General features: G+C 33.9%; 1 protein-coding gene across 4 annotated transcripts in view; it reads left to right on the top strand.

The window, feature by feature from the left end:
- FSTL5 (follistatin like 5) overlaps nucleotides 1-26,012 on the top strand; it is a 780,104-nt gene that overhangs the window by 400,658 nt on the left and 353,434 nt on the right. For all 4 annotated transcript variants that reach the window (NM_001128428.3, NM_001128427.3, XM_011532126.1 and 1 more), the window contains exon 6: nucleotides 3,812-3,932. In NM_001128428.3, coding sequence (NP_001121900.1) covers nucleotides 3,812-3,932 — 121 coding nt within the window. The remainder of the gene's footprint in view (nucleotides 1-3,811; nucleotides 3,933-26,012) is intronic.

Genomic DNA, 26,012 nt, shown 5'->3' with positions numbered 1-26,012 from the left:
CTTCTCATTTTTATTTATTTTTATATCACTTTTCATTCTATGGCAAAATATATATATTTACTACTATATTTCTTTGCTCTCCCTTCACCAGAATATGAGTTTCATATGGGAAAGATTTTTGTCTATCTTGTTGTCTGCTGTGTTTTCAGAGTTTTGGACAATGCCTGACACATAGTAGGCAGTCTAAAAGGATTTGTTGAATGGATGATTGAGTTAGTGAGTGAAGGAGAATAGTAAAAACAGTAAAGAGAATAGTTCATTTTGCGGATGGTCAAGTTTTTTTATTGTTTGTTTTGGAACAAAAGAGAATACAGTACCAAGACAGTGAGTCATTCCTGATTTGTTACAGTCCTTGTGCAACTTTGACATTTCTATTACATTGAAGTTCAAAATGTACTCCCTGTTCCATGCTGTGTGTCTGAACTCCCCTGATGCCATCCATTCTGCTAATACTTCTGTTTTTTCACACTGAACCAAACCATTGGAGGGCCCAAGATTCATATAACTTGACTTCTGATCAGTGAAAAAAAAAGTGTAAAAGATTTTATTTTGATAGCCTTAAGGCTACCAGACTCCTTGAGGAGTTTACCAACTTTGGTAGGCTTGAGAAACAACCTCACCATTTTATCCGAGGTAACAAGTGAAAATATGATTGGTCTTTTTGACCAATCAAGATCATAAGATGGTATCTTGTTATCTCTTATACCACTTATACCACTTATTACCTTTTATATCATTTTATAAGAGGTAAAATGGTATGAGATAAAAAATAGCATGAGATAATGAAGTATCATCACAACATATTTGAATACGATATATTCAAATATATTTAGTGAATCTGGCAGTGTCATGAATTGCTAGTTAAGAACTAACATGTGCCTTTTGAGAAGTCTACAGTGAGTTTTTGGAACCAGTGTCAAACACTAAATGAAAGAAGTGCAAGGAACTATCAGAGCCCTACAAGTTTGTGCCAACGAGTGGTTACTGTGGACTGAGGAAGGAAGTCTACTTGTGTAGTTTTTCATACTTTCTTTTTGACCATCAAATACTCATGACTGTAAAGCTATAAAAATTCTGGTATCTGGGAGGCAGACGTTGCAGTGAGCCGAGATGCGCCACTGCACTCTAGCCTGGGCGACAGAGCAAGACTCCGTCTCAAAACAAACAAACAAACAAAAACAAAAACAAACAAACAAAAATTCTGGGTACCTAAACCAATTTTTCAATGCTGATTGAAATGTCCTGTAAACACATAAAACATTCTACATTAAATATGTGCCATTTTTATATCAATCATACCTCAATAAAGATGTGAAAAAACAGAAAAGAAGAAAAGTCATAGGAAAGTACCTCCCTCATTAGTAAACACCAGAATGTGACAAAGCTTCCCCTCAGGACACATGAAGGAGAGAAATAATTACTAAGAATCATGTTTTAAGTGGGGTATTTCATTGACCCACTTAAATGAGATAAAAGAGCAAATATTTGAAATATTTAGAATAAGAAAATGAATCTACTTTGTCCTATGCATGGATATGCTTCAGTATAGATGATAAGGGCTTAAAAAATAAGAAGTTTATTAGCCAGGACTGGCTTCTCAAGGTCACATGCATTAAAATGGCCTGCCCAGCTTAAGTTGTATCATCATGACCAAGTGAAGGCCAAGATCAAATCAAGATCAAACTAGTCTTATGCAAGAGCCAGTGATAAGTATAAAGTGGGAAGTCCAATATCTTGGTCTAATACATTAAGTTTGTAAAGTATTAAAACAGAAATAAACATGAGACAGAAAATGACAAAAGCTTTTCCCCATCTTTGTGCTCATCTCTATTTACAAATAAATGAGAGACTAAAAGTCATTAAAATGTCTGAATAAAGCCTGGTATCACTGCATCCTAAATATTACCACAATGCTAACATTGTACATATTTAGTGCATAGGGCGGTAGAATCGCGCACACTGCCCCTTCTCCCAGCCCCCAGGAAAAGTCAAAAGTCATTTTCTATGATCTAACCAATAGCAAATGGAGAATGACTGAGAGCTCTGTTGCTTTCTAAATAGAAAAATTGTAATATATGTATTTTTATTAGGCTTATAGAAGAGATGGCTTCAGCGTTAGGTAGTTTTGTTAATCCATCCAGCTGGACTGTGCAAAAGTTTAGGGCTTGCCATCTACAATTTCTATTTATATGGGTCAGTTAAACCAGATAAGATTTTGCCTTTTTTCTTCCTCAAGGTAACAAATAATCAGCTTAACCAATATAATTTTAACACTGATACATACACAAAAATAAAGAACTCACTGAGTTGCAAAAGTTCTATTTAGCACTGCATGTGCTAACATTACATATCACTGCTTAGCTGACTAGAGAGGGTGCTGGAGGCTCCAGTGACCCAGATGCTTAGCTCCATTTTCAGAGTTATCTCCTCAGTCTATCTACACTCAGACATCATGAAACGTTCAACACAGGAGTGTTCCAAAAAAGGTGAAAAAATAGCTCAAAAGCATCTGAGGATCTTTAGAAAGTAGCATCACCAATCTGCCTTTGCTGTACTAAAGAAAGTCCAAGACATTCTGCTCCACCAAAAGAAATGATAATTCATTGTGAATGTGCAACCATAACATGCACGAGCTGATGTCTGGAAGTCTGCAGTGAATTATTTAAAGAAGCAATGCATTATGTAAAAATTACTATTTTTAATGTTAAATGATCACTTTTGAGTGTATGCTGTATGTTATGTCTTACACCTGACTCTGTGTGTGCATGTGTGTGTGTGTAAATCTTCACATTCATTTTCTAATTGAGGAAAGTGTAAATGATTTGCCAGAAATTATTGAGGTATTAAATGGCATTGGCAGGTCCCGAACCCAGAGCCACCTGATTTTGAAGTCTTTGTTTTCTGATTATACCGCACCACTTTTAAAACAAACAAACCAACCAACCAACCACTGTGATGCACAGCTTCAAGCAGTATAAATCCCTGCCTTTGTATGTGAGAGAGTATGAAAAACCATGGTCACAGCTATGCAGCTACCACAATAGAAATGTCTGAAAAATCTTGGTAAGCTCTGTTATATGACAATAAATAGTCAAAATCAGTAGAATACCAAAAAGCTGCAGCCGCAGTCCATAGACTAGAGCACAGACTAGAATAGAAGTTTGATGATTTTCTTCACTCACGCCTGGATAGATTTTCATCATCAATCGGTGCATTAATTCTATCTAGCTCCTGGAAACAGTCATTTGCTTAATAGCTCTTTTGTGACCAAGGGAATTCATGCACAATCCCAAATGACTTAAATTCCAGCTGGGGAGGAGTTCAGGCAGAGGAGAAAAAATAACCTAACTTCATTATTTTACAAATCATATGAGGAAGAAAGTTGGGACAAACTGTCTCACTATTTTTGTTGGGAAAGACCACTGTTTTATTTTGACATAGGTCACCGAGACACAGGAGGCAATTTTCATGCAGAAGTATTTCCTTGAGTCAGTATAAATGGAGCAAAGAAAATGCATGAAATACAAAATGTTCTTTAAATGTTCAGATTTGTTGAGTTCCACTGTGAAACTTTTATATTAGAACGTTTGAACGAAATTGTAATTACCTATCTTAACATCATAACTTTATATCTTTGAAAAGGTTAAAAATGATTGTTCAGTAACTAAAAACCTGGATTTTTCCAAAATTGAGTTTTTTGCCCTGCTGCAGACATGAAATGAACTATTATGTGATTATTACATATAATAAATTATATTATAGAAATTTTAAGACACAAATCTAAAGGTATGGTTTATAATTTTCTTGTTAGGTGATAAAACAGGAAGAACTTGGCAAGGATCTCTTTGATTGTACTTTGTATGTTCTATTGAAATATGATGATTTTAATGCTGACAAGCACCTGGCTCTTGAAGAATTTTATAGAGCATTCCGTGAGTACAAGATTCATTCTCCAATTTCCCTTTGTTCTTTTTCCTGTTGCTTTACACAATATGGTCTATTTGCTTGCTCTCATAGTACAAGCTGTTTCTTAAGAAAAATTATATAATTTAGTGAATTTAAGTTTCAAGTTGTATTGAAACATATGAAAAAGCTAAGGGATTCAGTAGTTCTGAAATGAACAGTTAGAAATATTTGATAACCACGAATATCATCAATTCTCATTGATTATAGTTTAAGACATTAGTTCCTCAATGCTGCTTTCAAGGTTATTTTAGAGCAGGAGGAGCTTTTGACTAGTTGTCACCATGTATCAAAAACAATTATTTACACACTCAAATATTTTAACTTCATTGGGAAACCAAAATGGATTAACAGATGTAGTTTGAGTGTATTTGAAGGGCAATGATTGGCATTAGAATCAAGAGTTATATTTTTATTAAGGTATTTTGGAAAAATTGATACATGTTTGAATTGCCGAAGTGTGTCTTCAGAGTGACTAAATGTATTTTTTAGAACAGTCATAAAGATGACTTGATTAACCAAAATTACTTATCAGGTTATTCTTTAAAAATAATTCAAAGAGGCCGCTAATGGGTGCCTTATGCCTGTAATCCCGGCACTTTGGGAGGCTGAGGTGGGTGGATCACCTGAGGTCAGGAGTTCAAGACCAGCCTGGCTAACATGGTGAAACCTCGTCTCTACTAAACATACAAAAATTAGCTGGGTGTGGTGCTGCGCGCCTGTAATCCCAGCTACTCAGGAGGCTGAGGCCGGAGAATCACTTGAACCCGGGGGCGGAGGTTGCAGTGAGCCAAGATGGCGCCATTGCAGTCCAGCCTGGGTGACAGAGCAAGACTCCATGGCAATAATATTAATAATAATAGTAAAATAATTGAAAGAGAAAGGACTAAGAAACAATAAACAAAAAACAAGGATTTAGGAGCTACGTGTAAAAAGAAAGAAAGACAAAGTAAATTTATTAGTTGGTATTAGAAAATCACCAAAGAAGGAAAATTAAACAGGACTCAGTTTAATTCAGAACTTGAAACCAAAATTTCCATTTTTTTTTCAGAAAAGATAGGAAGTAGAATACGTACTTGTGTAAAAAGGTCTTTTTTGAATTATGCCCCTGACTTTTAGCCATTTATCAGCTGTCTGATGTTGGAGAAGTTATTTAAATGTATTTTTCTTCTTAAAAATTCATGTAAATAAAGATAATTTTCTTACTGCATGATAATTTTTATTAAAACACTGTATTATATTTTATGTGATAATTTAAGCAAAATAATATATGAAAAAAGTTGTAGCTTATAAATTTTTAAATCACGATAAAAATACGCTCTTTGGATATGGTTAAGTTGTATTTTCACTTTAAGTTACTAGGCAGAATGCAACACAGGATGATCCGGTAAACTGTTAGTTCTTTAGAAGGGTGTTGTTAGATTAGCTACTTTTCAAAAATGATAAAATGAAAGCAGCATTGGCAGGGCGCAGTGGCTCATGCCTGTAATCCCAGCACTTTGGGAGGCTGAGGTGGGCGGATCACCTAAGGTCAGGAGTTTGAGACCAGCCTGGACAACATGGAGAAACCCCATCTCTACTAAAAATACAAAAATTAGTCGGGCTTGGTGGCAGGCGCCTGTAATCCCAGCTACTCGGGACGCTGAGGCAGGAGAATCGGTTGAACCCAGGAGGCAAAGGTTGAAGTGAGCCAAGATCACGCAATTGCACTCCAGCCTAAACAACAGAGTGAGACTCTGTCTCCAAAAAATAAAAAAATAAAAAGAACACAGCATTATTATTCTACTTTATATGAAGGAGGTGAAATACACAGAAATTAACAAATAGGTGGCTGAGTTTCTAATCAAACTCATGTTGACCTAATTATGAAGTCTATGTGTTTTTCCCTATGCTTCCTGCTGTAGTGGGCATTCTTTTGTGTACTCATGGTGGCAAGGTAACAGGGAGAAAATGTGGTTTGTCAGGGAAAAACTTATGTTTACATATAATAATGTGTGTGTGTGTGTGTGTGTGCATATGTCGGTATGAATGATACTATCATATAAGATAGAAGGAAATAGGTGTTATTTACAAAGCCTACAAAATATTAAGTAAGTTGAAAATACGATATTTAGTTTTGGAAATCAGGGATACCTTATGAAGGTGGTGGAAATTAAATAACTAAATTAATCTTAAGGACAAGTGAATTTAAACTTTTGGAGATGAGCAAAGGGTAGTAGATAGAAAGAATAACATAAATAAAAAGTCAGATACTTGACATATTAGGGCATTTAGAAAAACCTGGCCCAACTGCATTATCTGTTGCAACCTGAAATTTTATGAAAATGTAGAAATTATTTTGGGCATTTTACTAAATAGTTTTAATAAATAAGCAGTCTAATCTCCTAACCACTACCTCCATCTCTCAATAGAAAGATACATAGACTTGACTAACAGAAGTAGGCAACTTCTACAGCCATGCTTGGAAATAATTTCAATCGTATATAGTTTACCCAGCATCAACAAGAGTATTAAATGGATATGTTTGTGTAAGATATTTATTCAAAATACAGTTATTGTTGGTGGTGCAACAGTGGAAGAGAAACAATAGAAATATGTGAATGAGTAATCTGTTATTTTTATGATAGCCAGCAAAGACACTGAAAAGCAATCCCTGGCCCTATCAGTAAAAATAATTTTGCCTAAAATACTACTGCTTGCACCTGTCAAGGGGAAAAATAGTACTGCGTTTTGGGATGTAATTTGATGTTGCTAAAGAAAACAAGGTACATCAGTGCATCGTCCTTATAAATAACATTTTACAAGTCAGAAATCTAAATAATCAATAAAAAGTTTTAATAAAGATATAGTAAAACAGATTACACATAAAAGTACTAGGGAATATTGAATTTGGATAGAAGGAAATATATATGGGTTTCATTAACTATTAGAAAGTAGTATGTTAAAAAATTTTATGGAAATTGTTTGTAGTAAATACAATGAATTTAGTGAATATAGTAATGATTCTGCCATTAGGTCAAATTTATGTATAATACAAAGGGTCTACATTTTTAATAGTCATAAAGAGACGTTAGTTGGGTAATGAAATTGCTTGGCAATCAGCAATCATGAGATAATTTTTTCTTTTTAGATAATCAAAACTATCCTATAACAATGATAAAATGTTGTTCACAACATCATTTAGTGGAAATAATGTTTTTTCTAAGTAATGCTGCAATTACGGGAAATATTTCCATATTCTTTTTGGTGTCACCAAGCAAACTTCTTGTAAGGTATTACATTTTCAGTGCTTCACCCTTATTTAAACTAGGCGTCAAGCTATATAATGATCCCTCAGAGATACAGAACTGACCTGTGTGGATTGTATCTGCATTAGTGAGAAGATATTTATACTTTAATGAGAATTATAAATACTTATCGATTTCTTTATCTCTCTCCATAAAATTACCTGATAATTAAATCCACTTGGGTTTTGTGAAGTTTAGTGACAGGCTTTGTATAATGACATGATTTTAGAAAATTGTAAAATACTAAGGTATCATGAATAAAAAATGTATAACACTAATGGGAAAAGAAATCTATTCAAAAATCATGTATTATGTACCTTTGTGTATAGGGTGTTGTGATAGTCAAAGCTACTTACAAAGATAGGTTTCCTTTCCCCTAGGAATATATAATCTCAGACAGACAGTGATCAAAATGACAGATGTATTAAGACTAAAAAGGAACCATTTTTCCACATCCAGGATGCCTTCCTCCACATACTTTATAAAAAGAAGCTCAGAAAGCTAGAAAAGCCTTAAGTGAATATCCAGAGGGATAAACTAAGGCAGAAGAAGTTAGAAATCTATCATGATTCATTAATTGTTTTCTGGTCGATACAAAGGTAAACAGACTTCCTGAGTTCCAGGTTCTTTCTCTCTGCCATGGTATAAAATGGAAGATAGTAAAGGGTAATCCGCAAACAGGAAAAAGTTAATGGTAAAAAAAATAGCATATTATCAAGTGTTTTTATATTATTGCAGTGTTATTCCAGTAGACATAATGTGTTTTTCAAAAATACCTTTTTTCTTTGTGGATTAGATAAGTTATTTTAATATTTTATCATAGGTATTGAATGGTCAATTATTTAATTTTTCTTCATAATTTTTAGTATTGTTAATAATTTGATTTTTACTAACATATTTAAAATAAATCCTTATTGTGTGCTTCAAGTATTTCATATCATGCCTTGTCTGATTAACAGACTTGGAAAGCTATTTAATAGGATCCAATAAATAATAAGTTTAGTGACATACTTTTGAATATAGAGAGGAAATACCAAATTCTCTGGTAAGGTAGTGTACATCCTTCACCCTGGATTTTGTTGTCATGAGTATATTCAGTAAAGTGTGTTCATTTTCCAGGACAAAAGTTTCTCGTAGAATTAAAAATGAGTTAATAGTGCTATTATTCTATACCAAGTGCTAAATATTTCATTGTCTTCCAATTCAAATTTAATCAAATTATAACATTAAGTATGATTTGCATGGAATACTATACTTCTGATTTAAATCTGTCAGTAAATATAAGCGATTTGCCATCAGACAAGATAACCATACACTAATTGAGGCATTTAACTTCAGAAGTGATGCTCAAATAAATGTCTTTATTTGCTTAGGTTATGAAACTCAATTGAAATGATGAAGTGATGTTATATGCTTATTGATTTTAGAAATGAGTTACTTCATTTAGAGTTTCTAGATAACCAAGAATGGTATAAATGACTACCCAGAGATAGAATTTTTGTTCTGAAACTGCTTCCTATGTACTTCATTTCCTGAGTTAAATAATAAATTACTTTGACTGTAGTACTAAACCTTAAAATTGTGTGAAATTTTATGAGGATTATGAACTTTTAAAACTGTATGAGACGTTCTGGTAAATGTGATAGATTTTTGAAGTGTTACTAAACTGTTCTAAGTTGTAGCTCCCAAAACCATATACATATATATGTACTTTAAGATGTGTATGTATTTTTGTGTGTTCAACTTCTAATGTCACACTTTTAAAAATTTCTATTAATTCAACATGATCTTTATATGTACAAATATCCAAAAGAAGGTACGTTTCTAGCAGGCATAAAAATAATTAAGTTTTTGTCAGTAAAACACATCAACTGTGAACATCATATTAACACTAATTGTGTAATAGCTCTATTGTTCTTTAAAAGAGGTAACTATGATTCTAAAATTCTAAAATATTAAAAAAAATTTAAATCACCTAATTATTAACTTTTATATTGAAAATGTCATCACTCTATATGAAACAGTTCTTTTTTTTTTTTTTTTTTTTAATTGAGACGGTGTCTTGCTCTGTCGCCCAGGCTGGAGTGCAGTGGCGCGATCTCGGCTCACTGCAAGCTCCGCCTCCCGGGTTCACACCATTCTCCTGCCTCAGCCTCCGGAGTAGCTGGGACTACAGGCGCCAGCCACCACGCCCGGCTAATTTTTTGCATTTTTAGTAGAGAGGGGGTTTCACCGTGATAGCCAGGACGGTCTCGATCTCCCGACCTCATAATCCACCCGCCTCGGCCTCCCAAAGTGCTGGGATTGCAGGCGTGAGCCACCGCGCCTGGCCGAAACAGTTCTTAATGCAATATAGATTTGTTAATGACATTATGAGGAAAATAGAACTCATTCTCCAGGGAAAGCAGAACTGCTACACTAAAATATTACTTATCGAAAGCTTCTAATAATTAGAACAATAAAAATGAATATTACATTAGCATTCATAGATATTAGATCATTAGTATATAAAAACCTTTGTTTGAGAAAAATAGCAGAGTTTAGTGAACAAAATTAAGAATGTTGCACTAATATAGGCTAAAAGTGATGACGGGGCCAGAACCAAAGAAGCAACAGTAAAAATGCAGGAATGTGGCCATATCTGAGAAATAACTTATGAACAGAATTAACTTGAATTGGTGAGTGATTACATATACATGACAGGGAGAGGACTTGAGTCAAGGATAATGCCCAAATTTCTAGCTTGCCTACTAAGGTGAATGGTGTTTCTGTTTATTAAAGCAGGGGTCACGGGAAGAGATGCAAATTTAGGGAAAGACATTGAGTTAAATTTTGGAAATGTTGGTATATTTTTAAAAAATACACAAACTTCTGTTTGGAGAATATTGTGGTTCAAGTAGGTGACCTCAGCCAGAAATAAAGATAGGGAATATGTAGGTAGAAACTGAAGATCTGTCAGAAGGTTGGGTCATTCAAGATGAGCAAGTAAAGAGAGAAAGAATGAGCAAAAGTGGAGGACTTCAGAACCGTCTTAGTGGATATCATAACAAAATATGTTAGACAGGTGGCTTCAACAATGGAAATTTATTTCTCATAGTTCTTGAGATGGGGAAGTCTAGCATCAAGGTACCAGCCAATGCAGTGTCTGGTGAGGGCTGTCTTCCTGGCTTATAAACTAATGCCCGCCTTCTTGCTGCATTGTCACCAAAGAGAGAGAACGCTGTCTGGTGTCTCATAAGGACAAAAAACCTATCAGATTAGGACCCACCCTAAAGACCTCATTAAACCTTAACGTTATTTTAGGCCCTATCTCCAAATATAGTCACATTGAGGGTTAGGGCATTAACATATGAAGTTGGAGGAGACACAATTCAGTCCATACCAGAATTAAAACTGAAATGCATTTTAACAGGTGGTGTCCAAAGCAGGGCACCACCATGACATTTTACTAAGGAAGAATTGATGAACATTTTTCAAAGCTGAATCCAAGGGAAAAAAAAGTGAAGTCTTCTTGGCCACTAGATTTGGCAGAAAGGAACTTACTAGTAACTCTGGTCATGAGACTTTCAATATAGATGTAAGGGCAGAAGCAAAAGTGCTGATGATTGAGAGGTTGGATGTAAGAAAACTGAAAAATAATAATGCTGGATAAAGAAGCAGAACATATAAGCATCCATCAAGTATGAATATATTTAGATAAAATACAAAACAGCTAAAACTCCTCTATGATTTTAGAATTAATATGATGGTAGCCTTTGCGAGAAAGGAAAAGGAATGGGATGGAAACATCAGGTCATCTATGGTGCTGGAAACATTCCATCTATCTATCTATCTATCTATCTATCTATCTATCTATCTATCTATCTGTCCATCTATCATCTGTCTATATTTAACATCTATAGTGGTTTCACAGGCATCCTTACTTTGTTCAAGTGTACTGATTTATACATCATAATGTGTCACTATTTTGTATCTCTGCTATTTAAAAAATAAAACAACAAAGTTTACCAGAGCAACTGAATTCACCTCTGGCCTAGAGCTCATGAATTATCTCTGAAAGACTAAACCTTGCATTCAAACACAAAGGCATTGATAATTCTAAGCTTACCTTGATTTGGGAATCATTGTGTTATATAATGTTATAGCTACTATAAAATAATCCCATATATACAGATCATTATAATATGAAACCTTGCAGCAACTTAATCACCTGACATATTTGGAGAATAATTCCTCTATTACATGCTAGCATTACAAAATTAATAATGTGCATTTTAGTTTGTATGATCATCCTTTTTTTTTCTTTTTTTTTGAGACAAGTTCTCCCTCTGTCACCCAGGCTGGAGTGCAGTGACACTATCATAGCTCACTGCAGCCTTGAGCTCCTGGGCTCAAGCAATCCTCCCATTTCACCCTCCGAAGTAGTTAAGGCTACAAGAGTGTGCCACCTCATTTGGCTAATTTATTTATTTATTTTTTTAGTAGAGATGGGACTTTGCTATGTTGCCCAGCCTGGTCTCAAACTCTTACCTTCAAGTGAGCCTCCCAAAGTGCTGGGATTACAAGTGTGAGTCCCTGTGCCAGGGCTGATTATAAAACATTTTATGTTAGAGTTCATAGCTATCCCCTGGCTATTTTGGGAAATACCACTCAGCACCATTTCCTTGCTTTCTAGTCTGTGTTGCTGTTGCTATACGGGTTCTTAGGGAAAGGATTTTCCAAAATGATTGCTGAGACCCAGCCTATAAACATGTATTCAAAAAGGACAGTTTTTTGCTCCTAAACATAGTAAATTATTTTTATACACCAAGTGTAATGGAAAGAGAGAAAGAGAAGCAATACCAATTTCAACTGTATTTTTTTTTAAGTCTTAGGTTTTTCCCATGGTAAAATAACTCCGTCCTTCATTTTGTCCTTTAATGTCCCATTTGTAAGATTACCTTAATGGGATACCACTATTGTGCCTTTAGGGTTCTTTTTTTCACCTATAGTATCTGGCATTCTTCACACTCTGATCTCTAACTGGTACATTTTGCTTGCTAACATAATGATTTATAATCCTAAAAGCAGACACAATTAGACAGTTCAAGTGAAACATTTATCATATTTATTTTTTAAGTATTTGCTTTTTTTGTCATACAAATATTAATAGAGTAAGGTCTTTTCTGACTCTAAGTGTAATTGCAGTGCAATAAAATGAGAATTGACCAATCATTCTTATTTTCCACACTGTACCATATATTGTCAGTCATAGCTTAGTGCATCTAACCTAAAATTTCTTTCCACTGATTACAGTATAGTAATCTTAGGTAGGATTTGCCTAAGGATTATGTTTTTCAGACCTTTTTAGATTCCACATATAAGTGAGACCATACAGAAATTTTTTAAAATGCAAATGAATATCATCTTTTAATGGCTGCCATTGTTTGAAAATCATAATTTTTAAAATTATGAAGGTAACACTCTATGTATTATCATGCCCAAACTATCACTTTTATACTTAGAGAAGCACTGTCTAATGAAACATAATATAAACAAAAAATGCTGGCCATCCTAATATTTTGAAATTTTCTAGCAGTCACGTTAAAAAAAGAAAAATCAGGCAAAATTGATTTTAATAACATTTTATTTACTTAAACACGTCCAAAATATTATTATCATACCAATATGAGCATTAAGTGTATATTATTCATTCTTTTTTCTTACCAAGTCTTTGAAACCTGGTGTATATTTTACATTATTACAGTACAGCATATCTCAATTGGATAAGCCAAATGTTCAATAGCCACATGTAGTTAATTACTGGCTACCCTCTTGGACAGTGTAACATTAGAGTGTCAAATTATAATGACTTCTCTATCTAAAATTTTATTCCAAGTATTTTAAATATGAATTTAAGTGCAAATTCCATTTGTACATAAATCACATGGTGTGAACTTTGTATTAATATTTACTTTTCAGAAATTCAAAAAAACATATACTAAAATGAATGTGATTTCATCTAAGGGACAAACATACTCGTATATATTCTCAACATAAATAGAATATTTACTTTAGAAAGAGTTACATCAAATGTATTTATCGTATTGTATTTTTTGGATTCAGAGATGTGTTTGTCACATGGATATATGCTGTAATGGTGGGGACTGGGCTTCTAATGTACCCGTTACCCAAAGGGAAGATTTTACCAAATAAGTAATTTTTCAACTCTCACTCCCCTCACACCCTCCCTTTTTTGGAGTCCCCAGAGCCTATTATTTTTATTATTATTTATTTATTTATTTTTATTTTTATTTTTTTTTTGACGGAGTCTCGCTCTGTCGCCCAGGCTGGAGTGCAGTGGCACAATCTTGGCTCACTGCAAGCTCCGCCTGTCGGGTTCACGCCATTCTCCTGCCTCAGCCTCCCGAGTAGCTGGGACTACAGGCCCCTGCCACCATGCCCGGCTATTGTATTTTTAGTAGAGATGGGGTTTCACCGTGTTAGCTAGGATGGTCTTGATCTCCTGACCTCGGGATCCGCCCGCCTCAGCCTCCCGAAGTGCTGGGATTACAGGCGTGAGCCACCGCGCCGGGCCTATTATCTTTCTCTTTATGTCCATGTGTATCCATTGTTTAGCTCTCACTTATAAATGAGAACATGTGATACATGATTTTCTGCTTCTGTGTTAGTTTGCTTATGATAATGGCATCCAACTTCATCCATGTTGCTGCAGAGGACTTGATTTCATTCATTTTTATGAAATACTGCATAGTATTTCACGGTATATATGTACCACATTTTTTTAAATCCAGTCAACCATTGGAGGACATTCAGGTTGACTCCATGACTTTGCTATTGTGAATAGTGCTGCAATAAACATAGGAATGCAGGTGTCTTTTCAATATAATGATTTCCTTTCTTTTGGGTAGATAGATACCCAGTAGTGGGGTTGATGGGTCAAATGGTAGTTCTACTTTTAGTTCTTTGAAGTATCTCCATACTGCTTTCCATAGTGGTTGAACTAATTTACATCCCCACCAACACTGTATAAGTGTTCCCTTTCCTCTGCATCCATGCCAACATCTTGTTTTTTGACTTTTTAGTAATAGCCATTCTGACTGGTGTAAGATGGTATTTTATTGTGGTTTTAATTTGCATTTATCCGATGCTTAGTGATGTTAAACATTTTTTCATGTATTTTTTTTTGCCACTTGTATGTCTTCTTTTGAGAAACATTTTTCATGTCCTTTGTCGAGTTCAATAAAATGTATTTAATGCCACCATACATAAGTGTTTTTCAAATGCCCTTATTGATGGTCATTTAATCATACATCTTCTGTCCATAGTTAGTACCTTAAAAATAGCTTTTCTAATTTTTAAAATAATCTTATTTTAGTAACTAATGACTCATGTCTTTCCTTTCCTTAAAAGAAATTCGCCAATCGTGTAAGTCTTTTCATGTGAGATACTGTTCAGTCTGAGAAAAAAAAAAAAAAAAAAAAAACGTGCTTCCCCTTTGCATTATTTCAGTCCAGCAATTAACAGTGAAACAGCTTTAGGGAGCTTGTACAACCTTATATACCACATGGATTAATGTTTTACCTTCCACGTTTTGAAGTTTTACAAATAGCTCTAGAATATTGTTACCTCTGAGAACTCTAGGGAAATTACTATGATACATGGAATGTAATAATTATTTAAAGGTTTGAAAAATGCTAAAAAAACTTTTTCAGGATCATCACAGTAAAAATAAATATATGTACATATGTACATATTTATGTTTAAAAAGGTATGTGCAAAATACTTTAACATGTCATAGTAATTCAGTGCATGATACTTTTTGTGGCAATTTCTTTTATAGGCATTTCAAAAACAGTAACAAATCTGTTTTTAACATTTTTACAAGGAGCAGAATAATTTGTTAATGCACATCCATCTTTATACTTTTATACAAGTAATTAGTTTGATGATTATTAGCTATTTATTGCATGTATGCCTGATACCACTCATTAGTACTCATCAATGTTTTGATTGTTTTATTCGATTTTGTTAAATAACAAAGTTGAATTTCTTAAGGATATTATATTATACATTCTTTTTAAATTTATAATCTACCTCTATCCATATAGTGTTAGCACCATCTACCATTGTTATCATCCTTAGTAAATTTGGAAATAATTTTTTAATGATAAAAAGTAAATTTATGTTAAATTTCCAATATATATTTGCTATATCCTTAGGTAACAATTAAAAATAGATTGAAGTTAAATAAACATCAACAAACATAGAAACAAAGTGTGTACACTAAGTGCTGTGTAGCTGCCTGAGTGAGGATTTTGTTAGGGCCTGAGTGCTGCATATCATCTGCAATGCACTCATTGTAAAATGTGTCCTTCCTAGTGGGAACTGTTGCTATAACAAGGAAGGAAACTACAGTAAACTTGTTACTAATCATTCAAGTAAGGTAAACAGACCCTAGTTGTTGCCCCCACCATATGGGACAAACAAATAGCATCTATGTTTAAAGCTTTACAGAAGTTGCAGATTACAAATCACATTGAGAGGATATGCACATTTGCAGGTACCGTCTAGAGAACTTTGCAAGATTACCCTCTTTCTTTTCAGTGTTGCTTAATTAGCATTAATGATAATAACACTTTATTGAATAAACAAGTAAATCAGGCATTTTAGTATATGGCATATTGTACTTGTCTACTCCAAAAGAAGGAAACTTTTCAAATAAAAAATACACAAAGTATGTTGGAAAGGTGGGGAGAGATTGAAGAGAGAAGAAAGCCAGGCAAAGAAGAATAAATGTGGTATATTTTATGTAAGTATTTTGTAGCTTAAAATTTATCAGCTGTGCAATGATTCACTTATGTAATTTTACCTATTTAGATTAATATTTCAAGTCACATTTAATTTCATAGTCAACAATCAACATTTGTTATGTTCTTATTACATGACATTATTAAGGCTAGTTACTACAAATACAAAAATGGATGAGAAATCTTTTCTGTTATTTAGGAAATTAAACAGTAAAAGGCAATTACAATATAGTATCTCAAGGGGCAATGGAAAAAGACCACCCACAGGGATGAATTCTAAGCAGAGATCACTTTTGAATTACATACGCCGCTGAATAAGAGTCCTTGGGGACAATATCCAAGAGGACAGGTGCTTTTCTGCTATGGGGGGCCCATCAGCAAAGCCAAAAGTGTGGGAAATTGCAAGCATTTGGGGGACTGGGGGAGACAAAAGTGCAAACTAGAAATTAGTGAAAAAAGAGGCTTAGGAGGAAGGGGTTAGAGTTTGAAACTTAGTGAACATAATAATGAGAAATTGGATAATTCATGTAGGTATAGGCAAGACACCAAAAGTGACACAGGGATTGTAATTTACATTTGAGAGGTCATTTATGAAACTGAGTGCAAAATGCCTTAAGAAATAAGATGAGAAGCAGAAAGAAATGTAGATAGTGCAATCAGTGGTATTTTGGGGTCAATGATTTCATTTTCAAGAACTCTGCTATCATGTTGATGTCACATTGGTAACCTGAAATTGGCCCATGGTGGGAACCTTTACAGCACAGATATTGTCAAATGCTACAGTCAAGCCCCTTACCCCAACCCATTACCACTACAGCTTAGAGAGCTGGCTTGTAAACATTCACCAGGGCACTACTAACTCAGGCTGCAATTCTCTAAGTGATAAGTTTTGAGGGCTTGAACAAGTGGAGTTGGGTAAATCAGAAGTTATGGATTTAAGGAATATTAGGGGAAAAGATCCAACAAAATTGGTGATGGATAAGGCTAACAATTTCTAGAAAAGATTCTTAGAATATTTATATTGTGCAATCCAAAATAAATTCAAAGTTAGTAATAATCCTGTCAACAAATTTGTTGTGACTTTTGAGGGTGCACCTAAATAAATTGGTGACAACTTCAAACCTCAAATTAAAAAAAAAAATCACACTATCTCCAGAAATTTTATTTAACAATGTATTGTAGCAAAAATAATTTATATATGTGATGGGATAGATTTTGGTAAATAAAATAATTTCTGATGAATTTGTTAAAAACTTTCTGAGCTACTCAAGGATAAAAAATTGAACTTGTCTAAAGTTTTAAAGTTAAAATTTAACATTTGTTTTTTACTGATGAAAAACTTAGATTAAAAGAATATCAAAGTTAGTTGAGCAAACTAAATATTCGAGCCTGTAGTCATGTTTAATGGTGTATGTACGACTCATATTTCCATTGACCATAATTCATTTTATTATAATCATATTTTGTAAGAACTATCTATATTAGCATTCTGAAAATGACATAGGTGACAGCTCAACATGTTTTTATGATTACACATTTGCTAGGATATATAAAATGGTAACACTTCTGAGATCAGGAATTTATCTTATTGCTACAATGAGTGATTTTTTTTTTTTACTTATAGTTTGACACATTTCATTTAGAAAGAATATAATTTTTGTGGAGCCCCATCAAAAGTGTAGGTCCTTTTCCTGCTCTTTGTAGACATTTTACAGTCAACTAAAACTGTGTAATTAAATATTTTAACATCTTTTAAATATGTTTAAACAACAGGTGAAAATGCTATATACCCCACTGCCTATATATTGCACTGTTGTTATCACTCCATATTAAACAAATTTATCCTAATATGATGTTAGAAAAAGATTTTGTATTAGCACTGTGTTTCTGGTATTTATTTCTAAGAAAGTAGCACATTTTTGTATATAGTTACAGATGTACAAAATAAACAATGCCAGTAAAAGATTTTTATATGAGATCACACTGCCTCTTTCATCTGTGTTTTCTAATCCTTTGAGGTGTACGAATATTTTTAAATATTGATTTCAAACTGAACTCATCAAGTTACTACTTGCTGAAATATTAGAATATTTAAGGGCTTTTTTAATAGTTTATGGAGATAGTGGGACTTATCAGCTTCAATCAAGATTGTTTCCCCAAAGCCAGGCTATATTATCACTGTGTTTATTTTTTGTTGTTGTTTTATTTTTTTTATTTATTTATTTTGCCTTTTTAGGAAAGTATTTCTTTTTTTTTTCCTCCGGAAACTACTCACTTTTGCTTCTGGATCCGATAAAGCAGAATAAATTGATCTGAGATTTCCTATCCCTAAAACTAATTTTATAATTTGTATTACATGGCCTTTTACCATTTTTCAATGCATAGACAGCTACTGAAAAACTACTAATACCTGAAAGCATTAAAATTTGGTTCTATATTATGTAACTGTCACCACATAAATAAAATATCAATTAGGAAATTGTCTTCACATTTGCATGATAATATAATTCTAAAAGTGTTAGTTTGAACCGAAAAAAAAAGGTTTCTGAACAATTTTATCAGGCTTTTCCTCTGACTTTAGCTGAGACATGATTTCAGGGTGTTGAGAACTGATCTATGCCAATTTGGTCATTAAGAGCCATTAAGTTCCTTTTAGTGACTATTAGAGACTTTAGCTAGTTAGCAGTGGATGAATTCCTTGTCACATCCCCAACAGAAACTGCTTCTGCTGCCAGGTGGTATTATATGAATATTTATATATGGTAGAATTAGGTGTAAGACTTGCCTTTCTCATTTACCACACCTTCGTAAATGTATAGACATAAAATTAGGGAAAGATGTATACCACTATTGGTGCTAAGCCATCTTATAGTAAGTCATAGAGAATATAATTCAACATCATAACAATGTGAGGATGGTACAACTCATCTCAGCTTTGGCTTTACCAGTTCACTGGGCCCTGAAATCTATGTATAAGTGTTGAATGTATAATTATATCATAATCATACATTTGTGGTGCAGATAGATTTCTTAAGTTAGCTGGACGGGAGCCTCAGAGAATGTTACTGTCCAAAAAAGTCGTCATAGTGATGTGCTCATTCCTTATGCATCCCTGACCATACATACGTTCAGTATTCTTGCTTGTAGTGTGCACAAAGCATCTATCTTTGAAAAAAACAGGATGATTTAAAAAAAAACACCTTCTGTTGTTCATGTTCTTGTAATAGTGTTAGAATTTGCAACTGGTTGAGCATAACTGATTAAATGTTTCTGAACTTGTCAGCAATCTAGCAAGTAAACTCACATATTGAATTCTACTAGAAGGAAGAGTGCAAGCATATTTGAATCTAAAAATTCTGCTACATTTTGTTTAAAATAGGTTTCAGCTAAAACACGATTGCAGATGCAACTGCATAATTCTTCCTGTTGAAAACTTGTGAAGCTTATTATACTCATCTCTCAGCTTAAAATGATCTGTGAATACATAATTTTATAACCAAAGTATATTCATATTATTTTTAAATTTGTAAGCATTTCTGATCTATGCCAATTTTTTATTTGTAAGCATTTTATGGAGAAAGAAGCTGCAAATGTGGCAGATTTAAAATATATCTGCAAGACTTAGTATTGTTAAAATAACAATACCATTCAATGTAATCTACAGATTAAATGCAATCCCTATCAATATCCTAATAGTGTTTTTTCAGAAATAGAAAAAAAAACTAAAGTTCATATGGAATCGCATGGAGTCCTACATAGCCAAAACAATCTTGACAAAAGAAAAGCAAAGATGGAGGGGATGTCATTCTTTCTTATTTTAAAGCTTAGTACAAAGCCATTAAAATCAAAACAGTATGGTACTGGCACTAAAACATATGTAGACCAATGGAATGGAATAGAAGATAAAAGAGATTCTAGAACTAAACCTTCCTATACATTGTCTAACAGTTTTCAACAAGAGTCCCAAAACCATTCAATGGAGAAATAACAGTCTTTTCAACAACTAGTGCTGGGAAAACTGAATATCCATTTGCCTCCAAAACCAAAAACAAAACCCTTAAAAATAGATCAATGACCAAAAAGTAAGAGCTGAATCTATAAAAGTCAGAAGAAAACATAGGAGGAACTCTTCATAACATTGGCTTTGGTAATGTTTTATGGGCTATAACAACAAAAACACAGGTAAAAAAATAAAATATAGATACATTAGACTTCATCAAAATTTAGAACTTTCATGCATCAAAGAACACTATCAACAGAGTGAAAAGACCACCCAAGGAATGGTAGGAAACTGCAAATCATCTACATAACAGATTAATATAAAAATTGGCAAGGTAGTTGGATAGATTTTTTTTTCAAAGATATACGAATATCTGCATTTTATATATTTAAAGATACATCAATATATTCTTTGAATGTACTTTTTGGTCATCTGCCAAAGAAGATGGCCATCGGCTTTTATTGTTATTTTTTCTATTTCTGCAAAAACACCATTAGGATATTTTAGGATATTTGAAATAGGTTTCTGCTAAAATATGATAGCAGATGCAACTGCATGATTGTTCATGTTGAAAAGTTGTGAATCTTATCATACTCATCCACTAGTCTCTTCAACCCATCCTTGGCCCACTGGACACTGTCACATGGATTCTCTTCTGGCGCGTCACTGCCATTTGTTCAAACCTAAACTCACTGTTTGCCACATGTCAAAGGCTACTCATATTTCTGTTTTTCTAACTGAGAGCGTTACATTACCCTATTTATACCCAGTTGCTACAGCAATAATAATATTTTAAAAAATTCTCTCCCTTGCCTTCATTTCTGGAGGAATGAAAAGTACATCTTGAATCGTTCCCCTAAACAATTTAAAAACTGGTCCCCTCTCTCTGTCCTCAATATGAGTCTTCATAGTTCAGCCCAGCATCATTTCTAGATAATAATGCAGCTTTGTACATGATCCCGCTGCATTCATTGTTGTTGACTCTTAATCCAGTCCCTTTACAGGGCAGCAAGAATATCCTTCCTAAAATGCAAAGCTCAACCTGAAATCATTTTAATGGTCCTTCACTCCCCTCAGGATATCAAATGGACCCTCCTTAACAAGTTTTCTCTCAAATAACTAGTAGTTTATTTCCTCCGTTGTTTTATTTGCATTGTTTTTTCTTTTTTTTTACTCACAAACTACAGGCTTGCTATACCAAAGTATTATCCAAAAATGCCCCATTCCTTCTTGCTTCTTGATCTTTGTACCAGCAGTTTACTCACCTTAAGTCATAACACTAACTCACACTTACCATAAGACACATTCTTCCTTCTTATTTCATGTCCTTTCTAGTCTCTAGGCTGCGTTTAATGGACTTGCCTACTTATTAAAAAATCATACTTCTTGGGCAACGTGGTGAAACCGTCTCTACTAAAATACAAAAAATTAGCCTGGCGTGGCAGTGTGTGCCTGTAGTCCCAGCTACTCAGGGGGCTGAGGCAGGAGAATTGCTTGAAACCGGGAGGCGAACGTTGCAGTGAGCCAAGACCGTGCCACTGCGTTCCAGCCTGGGCGACAGAGTGAGACTCCACCTCCAAAAAAAAAAAAAAAAAAAAAAATCATACTTCTCCACTCCATCACTTACCACAGTCTTTTGTAATTTCCTGTGTATTTTGCTTCATTCTTCATTAGGTTGGAGGATTCCTTAGATCTGGAATGCAATCTGTATTCACTCTTAGTTGCTCCCATAATAAATTTCTACCTTGGCTTAAAGCAACACTAAGTTATTAACTTAGAGGCCTTTAGGTCAGAATAAGGTAAAAAATCAAGGAGTCAGTACCAGGGCTGCGTTCAGCTTCTAGAGGCCACCACAGAATTACTTGGCTCAACCCTCTACCTTTAAAACCAGTAACATTGTGCCAAGTCTTCCTAAAACCACTATCTTTCCAGTTCTCTTCCTTCTGCTGCCCTCTTTCACTTGTAAGGACACTTAGGATTACATTTGACCTACCTAAATAGTCCAGAATAATCTCTCCATCTGAAGGTCAGTTAATTAGCTGTCTTAATTCTATCTGGTAAATTTAATTCCCCTTTGCCCTGTAACTGCCGTTTACAAAGATTCTGTGGACATATTTTGGTGGGGGTCATTATTCTTCCTACCACACTGCTATGGTCTGAATGTGTTTGTCTCCACCAGATTCATATGTTGAAACTTGATTATCAGTGTGATGACAATAGGAGACAGGTCTTTTGGAAGGTGATTAGATCATGTGGCAGAACCCTTATGAATGGGATTAGTGCCCTTTTTAAGGAAGTCCCAGAGAGCTGCTTTGCTGCTGTCATGTGAGAAGACATTGAGAAGGAGCATCTATGAACCAGGAAGTGGGCCCTCACCAGATGCTGAATATGTCAGCACCTTGATCTTGGAATTTGCAGCCTCCAGAGCTTTGGGAAATAAATTTCTGTTGTTTATAAGCTTCCTCATTTATGGTGTGTTGTTACCGCAGCCCAACAGACTAAGACATACACTATTTGAGTACATAATATGATCCAAATACCTATTTTATGAATGAAACAACAATCAATCACTGAATTCCAAAATATGTCAAATTTATAAGTGTAAAACTTAATGTGTGTTCAATATCTATGAAAATTATTGCACAGACATAGCTTGACCATGTGTCAATATAATGTGATATAGCATAAATAACATGGAAATTCAAAGCAAGAGATGCATTTTTGTCTCAACTATGCTTCTCACTATTCTTTCTTTGAAGGGTTTAGTTCTTGAAGAATCATGTTTTTGTTTGGACTTGCTTTTTTTTTTCTTTTATAATATGGGGGTTGAAATGGGGTCAGATATACTTATCTCATAAAAATACACTACTCAAATTAGATAGTATATAAAAATTCTCCTTAAACCTCCATAAACAATTAGAATATTGTCAATCAAATACTAAAAGCGATACTATACTATTTCAGGCCGGGCCTGGTGGCTCACACCTGTAATCCCAGCACTTTGGGAGGCCGAGGTGGGCGAATAACTTGAGGTCAGGAGTTCAAGACCAGGTTGGCCAACATGGTGAAACCCCGTCTCTACTAATAATATAAAAATTAGCCGGGCATGGTGGCACAAGTCTGTAATCCCAGCTATTCAGGAGGCTGAGGCAGGAAAATCGCTTGAACCCGGGAGGCGGAGGTTGCAGTGAGCTGAGATTGTGCCATTGCACTGCAGCCTGGGCGACAAGAGCAAAACTCTGTCTCAATAAATAAATAAATAAATAAATAAATAAATAAATAAATAGATACTATCCTATTTTGAACACATTAATTACTATCTGGGATTATTTATCCTCAAATTACCTTTTGAACTTAAATATAAGGATGCTTTAAGTTTTAGAATAGTCTACAAAAGAAACCAGATATTATCTCAACAATTTTTTTTTTTACTTCTGTGGAGTCCAATTATGCCCAGTTTTAAAAACAAGTGTATTCATCTGGCTACTCATGTTTTAAACTTGCACGAAACAGAGATAACTTTTACATATTTTGTTCTACTGCCATTCCTCCCCTCCTTTCACATTTCACTGGACATCTTACTAAGGTGTTTACCTTTGCCTTTGGGTTCTCATCCATGTGTGTTCCTAGAGTCACATTGGGCACCAAGGAGTCCCCAGTTTTTACCCTCTGCTGTATACAACTAATCCCCATATAAGACAGCTTTGTCCAAATATTTGATTCAGTGTGTAGAAAATGTGCAGTTCTACAAATGTTCTAAATTTGTGGAACATTTTACTGATAAAGAGATATAAGCAAATTGTATTAATTTGCTAGGGTTGTACCATAACAATGTATCACAGATTGGGTGGCTTGAACAACAGAAATTTGTTATCTCACAATCCCAGAGGCTAGAAATTCAAAATAAAGGTGGGTTCCTTCTGAGGCATGAGTGAAGGATCTTTTCCAGGCATCTCTCCTTGGCTTGTAGGTTGCCATCTTCATGTCCACATGGCATTCTCCTGATATGTGTGGCAAGTTTCTGTGTCCAAATTTCCCGTTTTTATTAGGAAATCATTCATATTGAATTTAGGCCCACCTTAATGACTTCATCTTAACTAATTACTTCTGCAGCAACACTGTTCTAAATAAGGACACATTCTAAAATACTGGGGATGAGAATTTCAACATATGAATTTGGGGAGGAATACGTTAAACACATAACACAAGTAGTCACATCAAACATTTTTAATAACTGAAACAGGAATTATGTGTACAAAAATAAGATAAAACAATTGTTGGAGTTTTCCTTTACAACTACTGTCTTATAAAAAATTGGACAAGAATATTTTTCTTTGTAAATTTTAGAAATAATAAAGCACTTTAAAAAGAGCTTGATTGCAATCAGTGTAATTAAGAAATTGTGCAAGTGATTTAACCAAATATGTAAATATGTGAGAATAGCCAGAAGAAACAATGAAAATGCTTTTAAGTATTATAAAAAATATGTGAATAAGCAAAGGTTTATTTTGTAGTTTAATATTTTGTTAAGCCAAACAGTTTTGATTTCCCATGCAATTTTCCAAGTATGTGAAGCATTATTATTTGAGTTTGATCAACACCAATTAATGTGGTTACCTTTCAGCTAGGTGTCTCCTTTTTATCTTTATTTAATTTGAAAAGTTTTGACATAATTCAAGCTACAGTTTGATCACAGTTTATTGTATTAATTATCCTGGTATCTGGGTCATTTTTAATCCAGCTTTTCTGATTTTTATCTGACTCTTATTTATATAGTACATTTTTTCAATTGCTTTTTTGAATGTTTTATCTGGAAGAGTGATTGAACACCCTTTCTCTATAACCATTCTTGACCTTCTTATTTTGTCATTGAGGAAAATTATCACTAATTATAGGATGAGATATTATTTTACAATTATTGAGCTAAATCATATGTATTGTAAAGGCTTTCTAGGCTTCTTAAGCCAGCACCATAAGATGGTGTATTGTTAGGATTATTTATAGGTTAATGGCTACTCCTGAGCACAAGAACTTTGTTTAATGAGCCATCTCCATTTTATTTTCTTTACGTAAAATTGACATTGTGAAGAAAATTAAGTGTTGCCCAGAAAACGTAGTTTATTAATAGTAAAAGAATATACATTCCTACTCAGTGCAAGAGGAGAAAATGTGTAACATAATTACTATTAGACAATAGTCATCCTCTTTAAGATATTGTATATATAATCACTCGGAAAAAACAGTAAAATATGAACATCCCCATTTTTATTCATAGTCTTAATTTATATGATCATCCTGCTCATTCTTTCTTCAAAAGCCCTAAAACTCGGAAAATCACTGGTCTTAAATTTTTAATTCTCAAAATGAGTAAGAATGGTTACACTGAAATACATATTTGACCATTTAAAAAATTTAAGTTGTAGATCTTATTATAAAGTAGTTGATTCAGAAAGGTCTGAAAACTGCTCCCCAACATTTTTTTTTCTTTATCTCTAAAATCTACACAATAAATGGGGGTCAACAGTGGAAGTTATACAACATAAGGAACTAAAGGTTAATGGTGTTTCTCAGTTTGGAAATGATTTACATACATAGGTTTTGCTTATTTGTGAAGGTAAACTGTATTTGTTGATTTTCCTTTCACTCTTTAAATTTAATATGAAATATGTCAAAAATAATGCATGAGAGCTACTTCATACTTGTGCTCAACTGGTGAGAAATGGGCACTAAAAGGTAGTGAATTAAGATTAATATATATTTTGAAATGCACGTTATTCTTGCAGAATAAAGTTATAAAGTAGCATAGTTGATCTAAAGAAGATAGTTGATCTTCTTTAGATCAACTATGTGGTCTTCTTCCCCACATTACGTGATCCTTCCTACTATTTCTGCTCGATTTTATAGGATCAAATTTCCTTTTCAGCTCATCATTACAATTGCATGTATATTCCT

This window comes from Homo sapiens, chromosome 4, assembly GCF_000001405.40.
Source record: "Homo sapiens chromosome 4, GRCh38.p14 Primary Assembly".
Taxonomy (NCBI): Eukaryota; Metazoa; Chordata; class Mammalia; order Primates; family Hominidae; genus Homo; species Homo sapiens.
The sequence above is the reverse complement of the archived record's forward strand: the minus strand, read 5'-3'. Positions and strand labels throughout refer to the sequence as shown.